Genomic DNA, 12,689 nt, shown 5'->3' on the forward strand with positions numbered 1-12,689 from the left:
AAAAAATGAATCAGCCGGACGTGGTGGCTGACGCCTGTAATCCCAGCACTTTGGGAGGCCGAGGCAGGCGTATCACCTGAGGTCAGGAATTTGAGACGAGCCTGGCCAACTTGGTGAAACCCCGTCTCTACTAAAAATACAAAAAACTAGCTGGGTGTGGTGGCGGGCGCCTGTAATCTCAGCTATTTGGGAGGCTGGGGCAGGAGAATCGCTTGAACCCTGGAAGAAGAGGCTACAGTGAGCCGAGACTGCACCTCTGTACTCCAGCCTGGGCGACACAGCAAGACTCCGTCTCCAAAAAACAAACAAACAAAACAAAACAAAAAAACTGAAACAAGCCGGCTTGAGCAAACAAGGCACTTTACCGGCCCACCCTCTGAGCTGAAATGGTGCGCAGTTATGGACTTCAGGCATAGCTGGATCCAGGTGTCCGCAATGTCTCCAGGCTTCTGACTCTTCATCTGTTGTTCCCTATGATGGCTCCCCTCTGAAGAAGGGGCATCTTTTTGTAATTTGCACCAAACGGGGTGCCCCCCGCTTGTGGTGCCCATGGCCTTCCTGAGGGTCGGGAGACTCAGGATGGCCGCCAGTCTGAAAGGAGAGACTGCTGGCAGGTGTGCCTGCCTCCTTCACCGCACAGCACCCACTGGGGCCGAGCGCTCTGTGGCGCCAGGGATGCTGGAGGTGCAAACAGTAGATTCGTTCTGCTCAGGATCAACATCACAAGGCAGCAAACGGCCACAGCCAGGAGGGAACAAGGGCATCTGACTCCCCCGGGGTGGGGGCTGACCTGAAGGGCAGTGGGCCAAGACCTGAGGCAGGGCGAGACACCACGCAGGCGCAGAATCCCTGGATGACGCCCACTTGGAAGTGGAGGGGGGAGGGCATGGGCAGCTGCAGCTCCCAGACACCAGCACACACAAACGCACACACAAGTGCACACCAGCAGCGACACAGGCACACACAAGCGCACACAGGGTCACACATGCATACACGGCTCACGTGCTTACACGTGCACACGCCAGCACACAGGCAGCTATACTCGAGTGCCTGCAGGCGCTCACCTGGCACTGTCACATACGCCCAACAGATGAGCACGGTAACGGCACACGCAGTCACACTGCACACACATGCGGAAGCACATGGCGACGTGTGTGCACCTACCTGGCACGCACACGCACACACCCGTGCAGCCTAGCGATGAGTGGCTGGGGCTGAAGAGGCTACAAGGCGCCCGTAGCCCTGTCAACCCGTCCCAGGCCCTGACTGGGGCTCACCAGGCCGCGGTCAGGAGGCCGGGCTACGCTGAACCCCAATTCCCAAAAGCTCCTGGTGGATTTGAGATGGCAGAGACATCTGGACCCCATGGGCAGCAGGAGAGACAGAGCAGCCCAGCCTGGGCTGAGAGCACAGGGACGGGTCCTGCCCCGAGGGGTGTGAGGGGGGGACGGGGTCCTGCCCTGAGGGGTGTGGGGGGGACGGGGTCCTGCCCTGAGGGGTGTGGGGGGGACGGGGTCCTGCCCCGAGGGGTCTGAGGGGGGGACGGGGTCCTGCCCTGAGGGGTGTGGGGGGGACGGGGTCCTGCCCTGAGGGGTGTGGGGGGGACGGGGTCCTGCCCTGAGGGGTGTGGGGGGGGGACGGGGTCCTGCCCTGAGGGGTGTGGGGGGGACGGGGTCCTGCCCTGAGGGGTGTGGGGGGGACGGGTCCTGTCCTGAGGGGTCTGAGGGGGGGACGGGGTCCTGCCCTGAGGGGGTGTGGGGGGGACGGGGTCCTGCCCTGAGGGGTGTGGGGGGGGGACGGGGTCCTGCCCTGAGGGGTCTGAGGGGGGGACGGGGTCCTGCCCTGAGGGGTGTGGGGGGGACGGGGTCCTGCCCTGAGGGGTGTGGGGGGGGGACGGGGTCCTGCCCTGAGGGGTGTGGGGGGGGCACGGGGTCCTGCCCTGAGGGGTGTGGGGGGGACGGGGTCCTGCCCTGAGGGGTGTGGGGGGGACGGGGTCCTGCCCTGAGGGGTGTGGGGGGGACGGGGTCCTGCCCTGAGGGGTCTGAGGGGGAGACGGGTCCTGCCCTGAGGGGTGTGGAGGGGGGATGGGGTCCTGCCCTGAGGGGTCTGAGGGGGGGACGGGTCCTGCCCCGAGGGGTGTGGAGGGGGGAACGGGGTCCTGCCCTGAGGGGTGTGGGGGGAACGGGGTCCTGCCCTGAGGGGTGTGGAGGGGGGATGGGGTCCTGCCCTGAGGGGTGTGGAGGGGGGACGGGGTCCTGCCCTGAGGGGTGTGAGGGGGGGACGGGGTCCTGCCCTGAGGGGTGTGAGGGGGGGACGGGGTCCTGTCCCGAGGGGTGTGGGGGGGGGACGGGGTCCTGCCCTGAGGGGTGTGGGGGGAACGGGGTCCTGCCCTGAGGGGTGTGGGGGGAACGGGGTCCTGCCCTGAGGGGTGTGGAGGGGGGATGGGGTCCTGCCCTGAGGGGTGTGAGGGGAACGGGGTCCTGCCCTGAGGGGTGTGGGGGGAACGGGGTCCTGCCCTGAGGGGTGTGAGGGGGATACGGGGCTGTGTCTAGAGGGGGTCTGTGGAGACAGGGTCCTGTCTGAAGGTTCTGAGGGGAGGCGGGACCCACCCTGTAGGGACCGTGTGGGGTCCGAGTCCTGTTTCCTGACATCCATGTAGTCAAGAGCTGGAACCGTGAAGCAGAACCCAGACCTGCCGCTCCAAGGGAGGTGGTTTATCAGGGGCTGGGCTCCTGCCCCCGCCTGCCTCCACCCGGGGCAGGAGAATGCGGAGGGCAGTGGAAAGGACCTTGCCAATCTGGAATCCTCTTCTCCTTCCTCCCTGGAGTTCACCGCAGAACTCTCTCGTTATTAAACAGCCAGGGAAGCCAACCTCCACCCCCGTATTCCCGAAACACCTTTATTGCACTATAAACAGCATTTATAAACAAACACAGCTGGGGAGTGTCTTAAAGATTTACCCACAGTCAACCTCAGACACTAAGATATCAAAGAGTGCAGGGGGGCTACTAAACGGGGGACCCCAGGGAGAACAGGGCCTGGGAGGGGTGAGCATCAGAGAAGGCGGGGAGCGCCGGCGTCTCTCTCCATGCAGGGCACCCTCCCCGCCTCCCCGGCCTGAGGAGCCTCCGCCCTGGGTGCCCTGGCTTCCGGGAGAGAGCGGAGCCCTGCAACACCAGGCTCAGAAGGGGCCTGCACTCTCCCTCTGGAGGGCTCACAGGTGTGTCCCACCGGACGTGCAGCAGGGGCCCAGCTGCTCCTCCAGTCCTGGGAAGCAGCTCCTCCACCCTCCCCTGGACAAGAGGAACAATGTGTGGCAAACGGGCTGACAAGGGACGTCCCTGGGTACCACAGATGTGCCCTGGTTCCTCCGTGCCCACCAGCAGCCGGGAGAGGCGAAGGCACTGGCCTGGCCTGGCCCCTGCTTTGAGTCTTATCATTTCTGCATCATTCTGAGCTGGAAACCTCCCCAAAATCATTCAAGGACCCACATAACCACACAATGGAAGCCTTGCAGCCACCTAACAGCAGGAAAGGCCATAGCCAGGTCCCCCCAGCTGCCTCCTGGGCTCCGACCCACCCACCGTAGCCACAGCCTATTTACACACGTGGCGTCAAAGCCACGGCCGTCAATCACTGCGTGTCGCTCCCAGCTGCAGACGCTGGACAAAAGGGCGACGGGGTGGCAGCCCCCAGCGAGGACGGATGGGCCATAGGGCTGCTCTCTGGGCATCTCTGAGCAAGACCCTCCGGCGCCACAGCAGAAATGGCCAGACGGGCCTGTACCCAAAAAGCCAGCGGCGACAGTGTTGGAGGAAAACAGGCCAGGAGAGCCGTCTCCTCCCCGCGGACCTCTGCCAAGACCTCCTCTGCTCCGACTGTGGCAGCGGCTGCTCCCTCCGCGCCCACCCTCGTCAGGGCACCCTCGCCTGGCCCCACTCCCCACCGGAGCCTGGGAAGCTGGGGTCTCCCAGAGCCAAGCCTGACCCCTGGGAGGGGGCGTCCCGGGCAGAGCCTGGGCCTGGTGTGGCCGCGAGGCCCTGCTCTCCGCGGGGTGGGAACTGGATGGCGGCAGGCTGTGGGGGAGGAAGACACACGTGCAGTGAAGGAGACTGTGGGCTCCAAGACTTGTCACCTCCCTGTCCACGGCCCCGCCCTGGCCACATGCACGGATTCCTGAACCCCTGAGAACCTCCTTCTAGAACTCTGCGTGAAAGGCGCGAGGCAGTGTGGAGGGGCAAAGGGGGACCCTCTGCCCCGCGAAGTGGCCCCTTCTCTTCCCCCGAGGCCCCTCTCCTCCTCCTCCTCCTCCTCCAAAGGAGAAATTAATTCATGAAAAATAATACTCCAGTCAGCATCGGGTGACCCAGGAAACCCTGCGTCAGCTACAGCATCAGCGCCCAGCCCAGCCTGAGTGTGAGCCCCTCCCCGGCCAGCCCCAGCCCAAGCCAGCGGACCCGCCCGCCAGCACCCGGTGTGGAGGAGAGACCGGGGTCTGCCCTCTGCACCCGAGCGGACAGCGAGCAGGTCCCCGCTCTACAGGAAGGGGAGCAGGGAGGTCAGGGGCAGCTCCTTCTCCCCGAGCAGCGTGTCCCGCTTGAGGCTGCTGCCCTTGTTCACCACCTTGATCCTGAGGGCCAGTTTCCGGACGCTGGCGGGCCCCAGGCCGTCGAAGAAGAAATCCTCGTTGAAGACGGGGCGGCGGCTGTTCTTCACGATGGTGCTGCGCTGCTTCTGCAGCTTGCCCGGCACCAGGCACAGGCCCACGCAGCAGTTGATGCTGCGGGCGTCGCACAGGCGGTCGTAGAGGCCCTCGGCGGCCAGCAGGTGCACCCGCAGGCGGGCCTGGCCGGCCTCGTACTCGGCCAGCAGCCGCACGCTGCCCCGAGGGCCCACGTGGACCGTGTGCTCCCCACGCGCCTGGCCCGACTCGGGGCCAGGTTCCGGGGGTGCCCGGCGGGTCAGGCGGCGCCGGCTCCCGGGGCTGGCGTCCGGGGTGCTGTCGTCCGCAGACAGGGAGCCGTGGCGGCCCACGGAGTGCCGGAGCTGGCTCACCTTGGCCTGGCTGTCCTGGGCGAAACCTTTGAGCAGAGACACGGAGCGGGACAGCAGAGGGGACCCGAAGGGGGAGGACTCGGCCGAGGACCCTGTGTCGCTCTCCCCGCCACTGAAGTAGCGGCCGGGGCTCATGAGGGCCCCGCCAGCCTCCCTGGGGCCCCCATCACCCCCGTTGGCCTTGGCAGCTGCCCGGCGGCGCCCGGCCCCTGGGGAGCCCACCTGGGCCAGAGCCCCGTGCTCACTGTGGAACAGAGACTCCTTGCGCCTCGTGTGGGGGCTCTCAGCCAGCATGGCGAAGCCGTAGGACGTCTGGGCCTTGGGCACCGAGGGCAGGGACATGGCACCCTGGGCCTGGGGGTCGGCGTCAGTGGCCTCCTCGGACAGCCAGTCCTCGGCACTCTCGATCTGGATCACGTGCCGGGTGGCTGCCTTCAGCAGGCTCTTGCTCTCGGCTGCCAGCTTGGCAGGCAGCCGGGGGCTCCGTGGGGTCTGGCGGGGGGCCGCAGAGGCCAGGTTCTGTTCCGACGTGGAGGGGCCCAGCGCGGCCTGTCCCTCGCCCTCCGCGGGGCCCGAGGGCAGCTTGGGGGGGATGAAAAAGTCGGGGATCTTGTCGGGCGTCAACACATTGCTGTACAGGGGCCCCTTGGAGGCCTTGTCCCCCGCCTCACTCCCCACGCCCCGGGCAGCACCGTTTTCCCCAGACCCCCGAAGCCGCTCCAAGAACCACATGTTGGTTTTTCTCATGGGGGCGGCAGGCAAGAGGCCCGGACAGGGGCTGCAGCGTCTGGGAAGAGAAGCAGGGGTCAGGAGCAGTGGGGGGCGGCTGGCAGAGGGCCCTGGGCACCTGCTCCCTGTGGGGCCTCCCGGCAGGGCCCTGCCGGCGGGGTGGGGGTGGAGGGGTCCCCTGGGGGCGTCCCGCCCAGGCGCGGCGGCCCAGGACAGGAGTGAGGCGGGTTCCCCCCACCTTTTTCCGGAGAGATCCCGCTTAACTTCCCAGCACCAAGCCCAGGGGCGTGGGGGCCGCGCTCTGACTCTCCGGGGAGCTCCCAGAGGAGACTGGCCCCTCGCCCGCCCCCACTCTGGTTTTGAGCATCTCAGCGCTCATTCCAAAGGGTTCCGCGCTCAGTCCCAGGGGAAGACACGGATGTGGGTGGACCCCCGGGGTGTCCCAGCTCCGCCCCCCCGGCTCCCACCCACCTGTGGCTCCTCCCTGGACCGGAGGGCCAGGCGTTCGGGGTGGGGGAAGGGAGGGGCGGTAGGTCTGGGGCCGAGAGAGCAGCGAGTCGACTCCCCGGTGTCCCCCCGCCCCCAGCCCTCCCCGACTCCGCTTGGGGTGGGGGGTGGGGTCCCGGCGGTCCCCGCAGACCGGGCGGGGTCCCCGGACTTACCTGCCCGGGGTGATGGCCCGAGGCCGGAGGTCTGTTCGCAGACACGCAGGGGTCTCGGCGCGCAGGCTCCCGGGGCTGGCGCGGGGGACGCGGCCGGAGCTTCGATGCGGGCGGCGGCGGCGGCGGCAGCGCAGTCGGACTCATTCACCCGCGGCGGGAAACCGCCCAGCCCCGCCGCCGCCGCCGCCGTATTCCTCCGAGTACGGCCGCCCGCGCCCGCGCCCGCGCCCCCGCCCCCGCGGGAAGGGGGTGGGGCCGTCTCCCCGCAGCCCCCGGAGGCTGGTGGCAGGGAGGAGCCTCGCCAGGGCCCGGGGGCTGACTGGGGGCCGGTGGGAGACAAGCAGGTGGTCACGGTTGGCTGACGGCCACCCCCGGCGCTCACGCCCGCAGATTCCGGGAAGTCGGACTCCCAAGCCCCTGCCTCCGTATACCGGAAGAGGGTCCCAGACCCCCTACTCGCTGCCGGCGAGGAGCTTTCCCGACTAACGACGACGAATTAAATGACGGCAACAGTAATAAATGCAGCTGGGTTTATGATGGAGCGTTTCCTCCCTGCCAGCCTCCCAGCGTCCTGGCGGGTCTCTGACTCTCACACAACCCAGTACGCAGGTCCTACTGCAATTCTCAATCTGTAGATGAGGAAGGTGGGGGGTTTCCTTCCAGAAACAAGGACCGAACAGCTAGGACAGCAGGTCTTACTAAATGGGCAACCTCTCAGCAGCCCTACAAGAAGCCTGGAAGGGGGGGGCTCCTTCATTTCATGGACAAACGTTTCCTGAGCACCCGCTTGATGCTGGACAGTGACCTGGCCACCGGGGACACAGCTGGGACGGAGGGAGGTGGCCCCAGCCCTGGTGATGCAGGGGCAGGATGCCCACAGAGCGTACAGGTGCAGCTTAGAACTGCAGGGGTGGTGACGCCCGGAACAGGAATACAGCAGGAAAGCGTGAGGGTCGGGGCGAAGAGAGAAGGCACATGCGTGTGATTCACGGATGGAGAAACCCATAGGGGGCAAGACCAGGTCCAAACCCAGGCTTCCTGGCAGTTCCTGAGACCACAGGGTCCCCCCCTCCTGAGGCCCCGACCCCCCTCCTGCCAGCTGCTTCGTGATCTGCCAGCCCCGGCCTTCACTGCTTCCTTCTCTCCCTCCCTCCCTGCCCTCCCCGCCTCAGTTTCCTCTTCTGGAACCGAGCTGAGCAGTTCCCAGCCTCCTCGTGCTTGGAGCCAGCAAGATAACATATCCCCAGGACCAACCCGGAGCCGGCGGACGCCTGGCGCTTTATTGAATTATTGATTGTCCAGGAGCCTCCTGCATTCTGGGAATGTCCCCAAGTCTGGATGTGGCCCAAGCTGGGAGGAGCGGCTGCTGCCACAGTGGTAGAAGAGGGGTCCAGGAGGGCGAGAGAGCTGGGCTGAGGCCTCCCCACTCTCCACGTACCCTTGCAATAAGGGGTTAGAGTCCTGCCGTCCAGAGGGGAAAGTGAAACCCGGAGGAGCTGTGACCCCATCTAAGCTTTGCTCACCCAGCAAACGTTGATGAGCCCTCATTTTTGTGCTGGGGCAACCGCGACGCAGCCCCGAAGTCTGACAAGGAGGCAGACACCGAGGAATTCTCCCCTTCACCGCCGCCGCCTCCAGGAAGCCTGGGCAGGCCCCACCACAGACTAGCAGGGCCCCCGAACCCCAGCTCCAGCTGCCATGCAGAATACCCTTGGGCTGCTGTCCACCACCCCTGCTGGGCCTGAGGCGGGAGGAGGGTCCTGGGGGTCTGTCCACTGCCCCTGCTGGGCCCGGATCCTGGGGATCTGTCCACCGCCCCTGCTGGGCACGGATCCTGGGGGTCTGTCCACCGTCACTGCTGGGCCCGGATCCTGGGGGTCTGTCCACCGCCCCTGCTGGGCCCGGATCCTGGGGGTCTGTCCACCGCCCCTGCTGGGCCCGGATCCTGGGGGTCTGTCCACCGCCCCTGCTGGGCCCGGATCCTGGGGGTCTGTCCACCGCCCCTGCTGGGCCCGGATCCTGGGGGTCTGTCCACCGCCCCTGCTGGGCCCGGATCCTGGGGGTCTGTCCACCGCCCCTGCTGGGCACGGATCCTGGGGGTCTGTCCACCGCCCCTGCTGGGCCCGGATCCTGGGGGTCTGTCCACCGCCCCTGCTGGGCCCGGATCCTGGGGGTCTGTCCACCGCCCCTGCTGGGCCCGGATCCTGGGGGTCTGTCCACCGTCTCTGCTGGGCCCGGATCCTGGGGGTCTGTCCACCGCCCCTGCTGGGCCCGGATCCTGGGGGTCTGTCCACCGTCTCTGCTGGGCCCGGATCCTGGGGGTCTGTCCACCGTCTCTGCTGGGCCCGAGCCGGGAGGAGGGTCCTGGAGGTCCTGTCCCTGTAGTGGCCCCAAGGCACAGGCCAGCCATGTCTCCAGTAAACATTTGCCAAACAAATGGGTGAATAGCATCGCCACGATGGCCCCGAAACAGTGCTCTTTCAGCAGGCCCGAGGAGAGGGGGCCTCAGGGGCCACAGAGCCACCCTCCTCCATTGCAGACAAGGACAGCAGGGCCTGGGGAGGGAAGCGGACAGCTTGGGTCCTAGGAAGGGGCAGTGACGGGTCTCCTGACATCAGGCCAGCCCCAGGTATTGGGGGTTCGCTCTCCGGCACCCCTGCCCAGCCCAGGTGGGGGCAGAGCCTCTCCTGCCAGCTGGGTTGGGGGATGAGGCACTGAGTTTACACTATGCCTGTCTCCATGCTAGGACACAAATCCAGAGCTGGTCAATCAGGGCTTGAATCCTGGTGCCAACCCTTCCCACTGTGTGACGCTGGACAAGCATCCAGACCTCTGTCTCTTCAGCAGCCCAGGGCACCACGGCTCTCGAGGGAGGGCTCAACAGATCACTATGTGCAAAGTGCCTACAGCACCCCACCATGTGTGCGAGGCAGGCGTCAGTCGCCCTCTCCCTCAGACGCTTCTGCAGGTCAGGAAGGGTCTCAACCAGGGGGGAGCTGGCCCAGACCTCAAAGTGCACCCCAGAGCCCTGACCCCACCACAGCCTGGCTTGGCCAGAAGCCCCACCCCATCCCCACATCCTATCACATTTGGGGGCTGGGGAAACATAGGCCTGAAAAGTACCTGGGATGGGTCCTAACACCTGCCCTGTGGACGGACGCAGACCCCACCCTGGGTGGGGCAGGGGCAGGGAGCCCGGGGCCTTCTGGCTGCTTAGCTCTGCACCATCGGTAAGTAAACAGGAGCCTCTCCTGGTCAACAGAACCTTCTGCTTCCCTCTGCAGCAGCCTCGCTGCAGCCCTCCAGGATGGGAGACCAGGATGCTGCAGATTCGGGCTCAAGCTGGAGGAGGGGCCCAGGTGGTATCGACCAGCCCCTCTCCGCCCTGAGTCGTGGCGCCTCATGCTGGGAGGCTTTGGCCCTCCATCCCCCCAGGTGGGGGCCCCACCAGGGACCCGGGGCTTCCCAGAGCCAGGCCTGAATCCAAGGCTGCCCCACAGTGGCCTCCAGGATAACAGGCTTGGAGGACCTACAGGGAGGTGGTTTAAAAAGGGGAGGGCTGCAATCCGAGCTCCAATGCTGAGGAGGCCACTGGGTAGCTGTGCAGCTTGAAGACTTACCCTGGGAGCCTCAGGAAAGGGAGGGGACGGCGTAACAATAAAACAATCCCAGGAGCAGGACTGTCTGCGAGCTCCCAGGAGGGACCTGACTGATTCGTGCATCACGGGTTAGCCCAGTGGGAGGGCCCTGGAGGGCCACCATCGCCAGTTTCCAGAGAGGGACACTGAGGCACCGGGGAGTAGCCCGATTCCTCAGGGAGCACATGGAACCGGCTGACCTCCAGGCCTGCCGCAGGCGGGGTGCTCAGTTGATACTAGCTGATTCCCGGGGCATCCTGCCCCTCCACGGCACCAGCTGATACCCAGGTCATCCTGGCCATCTATGGCACCAGCTGATACCCGGGGTGTCCTGGCCCTTCCATGGCACCAGCTGATACCCAGGACATCCTGGCCATCTATGCCACCAGCTGATACCCGGGGCATCCTGGTCATCTATGCCACCAGCTGATACCTGGGGCATCCTGGCCCTCTATGGCACCAGCTGATTCCCGGGGCGTCCTGGCCCCTCCACGGCACCAGCCGATTCCCGGGGCGTCCTGGTCCCTCCACGGCACCAGCTGATTCCCGGGGATCCTGGCCCTCTATGGCACCAGCTGATTCCCGGGGCATCCTGGCCCCTCCACGGCACCAGCTGATTCCCGGGGATCCTGGCCCTCTATGGCACCGGCTGATTCCCGGGGCATCCTGGCCCCTCCACGGCACCAGCTGATTCCCGGGGATCCTGGCCCTCTATGGCACCGGCTGATTCCCGGGGCATCCTGGCCCCTCCACGGCACCAGCTGATTCCCGGGGCATCCTGGCCCCTCCATGGCACTAGCTGATTCCTGGGGCATCCTGGCCCCTCCACAGCAAGTCCTCCTGTCTCCTCGTGCAGGGGATCGAGTGCGATTCAGGGAAGAAAACGACTCTTCCAGGCTGCGCAGCATTTAGAGGTTGAATGTGACCCAGGGTTCTCCTGCCTCCCACTCCAGGCTCAGGCTCCCGAGGAGTGGATTATTGACTTAATTATTCCAATTATTGGAAGTACAAAGGTAGGAAAGGGGAGGAGACAGGTGTAGGGACCGAGCTGGAGCCAGGCGTCTGGGGACCCAGGCTCTTCCAACCCAGAGAACGGGATTGGGAGATGGGGGCCCTCCAAAACCAGCTTCACCACCTCCCAGTGGGATGGTCTCGGGGGTCACCTCGCCTCTCCGAGCCTCCGTTTCCTCATCTGTAAAGCAGGGAGAGTTTCAGCCCCCCGAGTTCATGATACTCTTGGCTCATGTCCCAGCAGGCGCCAGTTTCTATTTACACAGGGACTTGGAAGAGGACAGACAGAGGTGGAGTGTGGATGGGCAACTTGGGCCCAGGGCCCAGGGCTATGAATGAATGAATGAAGTGCATTTAGACCCCTCTATCCTATGCATCTTGGGAATCTGACACTCCCTACTCCCCAGCACTCCTCTGGTCCAGCGCCTCCTCCTTGCCCTCCCCGCAATTCCCAACAGTTTACTTCCCACAGGGAATGTTATCACCCCTGTGCTCAAGACCCCTGGCAGCTCTTCCTGGCACCAGGCCTCCCCCAAGCTCTGTGTCCTCACCCCGCTTCTGACCTCACCTCGGCCACACTGGCCACCCTTCTGCTCCCTGAACGTGCTGGCTGAACACACCACAGGGCCTTTGCACACGCCATCTCCTCTGCCCACGCCATCTCCTCTGCCCAGAGCTCTACTTTCTTCACCTGGATTTCCTGGGATTTCTAAGCTCCATGACGCACTCTTTTCCACAGTTGTTTGTTTTGAGATGGAGTCTCGCTCTGTCCTCCAAGCTGGAGTGCAGTGGTGCGATCTCAGCTCACTGTAACCTCCGCCTCCCGGGTTCAAGCGATTTTCCTGCCTCAGCCTCCCGAGTAGCTGGGACTATAGGCGTGCACCACCACGCCCAGCTAATTTTTGTATTTCCAGCAGACATGGGGTTTTGACATGTTGGCCAGGCTGGTCTTGAACTCCTGACCTCAGGTGATCTGCCCGCCTCAGCCTCCCAAAGTGCTGGGATTACAGGCGTGAGCCACCGCGCCCACTCCACAGTTGTGATTTTATGTTGAGTGGTGATTTGCGGATTAATGTCACTTGGCCATTAACTCCACAAGGGCAGATCTGTTTTGGTCATTACTGCATCTTGTTTGCCCACCAGAGCTCCTGACAGATAAAAGATACTCAAGCAGGTAAAAGATACTCAATGCAAGCATGCTGAAAGACGGTGGGTGGGTGGATGGATGGAGCAGTGAAGGGAATGAAAATGAACAGGCGATGGATGAGCGATAGACAGGTGGATGCATGGATGATGAATGGATGGACAGATGGAAAATGGATAGATGGAATAATGATGGAGGCTTAGGCCGATGGATGGGGGACCAGGTGGGTGAATGGATAGATGGATGGCTGGGTTACTGATGGGTGTAGATGGGGCGATGAATGGGTGACTGGATGGATGGATGACTGAAGGATGTGTACATGTGGAGATGGATGGATGGCTGGATATGCAGATGGATGGTTGGATGGATGAGTGGGTTACTGATGGATGTGTAGATGGGGGATGGGTAGGTGGATTACTTGATGTGTAAATGGGATGGATGTATGGTTGG

The 12,689-nt window shown here is 64.5% G+C and overlaps 2 protein-coding genes across 3 annotated transcripts, besides 3 other annotated features; both read right to left on the minus strand.

Annotated features, from left to right (window-relative positions):
- Positions 1-2,885: 2,885 nt before the first annotated feature.
- Positions 2,886-6,588, minus strand: C2CD4C (C2 calcium dependent domain containing 4C). Of its 2 annotated transcripts, XM_011527694.2 has the most exons (3): positions 6,447-6,588; positions 4,624-5,842; positions 2,886-4,076 (listed from the first exon to the last, which is right to left on the minus strand). In XM_011527694.2, exons 2-3 carry the CDS (start codon positions 5,800-5,802, stop codon positions 3,915-3,917), a joined length of 1,341 nt encoding a protein of 446 aa, XP_011525996.1. In that variant the 5' UTR covers positions 5,803-5,842; positions 6,447-6,588; the 3' UTR covers positions 2,886-3,914. The 2 variants fall into 2 exon arrangements, with proteins under 2 accessions (XP_011525996.1, NP_001129735.1); NM_001136263.2 differs by having other exon boundaries at positions 2,886-5,842.
- Positions 3,571-4,450: an enhancer, noted in NCBI's record as "H3K4me1 hESC enhancer chr19:406130-407009 (GRCh37/hg19 assembly coordinates)". NCBI's record gives its function as "activates a minimal SCP1, AML or CMV promoter by ChIP-STARR-seq in naive H9 embryonic stem cells {active_cell/tissue: H9 hESC(naive)}" and the evidence as "EXISTENCE:reporter gene assay evidence [ECO:0000049][PMID:30033119]".
- Positions 4,451-5,331: an enhancer, noted in NCBI's record as "H3K27ac-H3K4me1 hESC enhancer chr19:407010-407890 (GRCh37/hg19 assembly coordinates)". NCBI's record gives its function as "activates a minimal SCP1, AML or CMV promoter by ChIP-STARR-seq in naive H9 embryonic stem cells {active_cell/tissue: H9 hESC(naive)}" and the evidence as "EXISTENCE:reporter gene assay evidence [ECO:0000049][PMID:30033119]".
- Positions 6,589-6,962: 374 nt separating the features above from the next.
- On the minus strand, positions 6,963-11,906 carry LOC124904607 (proline-rich proteoglycan 2-like). The gene is made up of 2 exons (XM_047439790.1): positions 9,570-11,906; positions 6,963-9,001 (listed from the first exon to the last, which is right to left on the minus strand). The coding sequence occupies exon 2, from the start codon at positions 8,895-8,897 to the stop codon at positions 7,734-7,736; it is 1,164 nt and encodes a 387-aa protein (XP_047295746.1). The 5' UTR covers positions 8,898-9,001; positions 9,570-11,906; the 3' UTR covers positions 6,963-7,733.
- Positions 10,352-11,107: an enhancer, noted in NCBI's record as "H3K4me1 hESC enhancer chr19:412911-413666 (GRCh37/hg19 assembly coordinates)". NCBI's record gives its function as "activates a minimal SCP1, AML or CMV promoter by ChIP-STARR-seq in primed H9 embryonic stem cells {active_cell/tissue: H9 hESC(primed)}" and the evidence as "EXISTENCE:reporter gene assay evidence [ECO:0000049][PMID:30033119]".
- Positions 11,907-12,689: the final 783 nt, after the last annotated feature.

The sequence above is a fragment of the Homo sapiens genome, chromosome 19 (genome assembly GCF_000001405.40).
Source record: "Homo sapiens chromosome 19, GRCh38.p14 Primary Assembly".
Classification (NCBI taxonomy): Eukaryota; Metazoa; Chordata; class Mammalia; order Primates; family Hominidae; genus Homo; species Homo sapiens.

What these genes read in the sequence shown, in the direction of transcription:
- C2CD4C (XM_011527694.2), bottom strand. Translation starts at nt 5,802, where the DNA reads ATGAGAAAAACCAACATGTGGTTCTTGGAGCGGCTTCGGGGGTCTGGG. An exon ending in AACTGGCCCTCAGGATCAAG is followed by an intron (nt 4,077 to 4,623) that starts GTGGTGAACAAG and finishes CCTCCCCCACAG; the next exon opens with CCTGCCGCCATCCAGTTCCC.
- LOC124904607 (XM_047439790.1), bottom strand. Translation starts at nt 8,897, where the DNA reads ATGCTATTCACCCATTTGTTTGGCAAATGTTTACTGGAGACATGGCTG.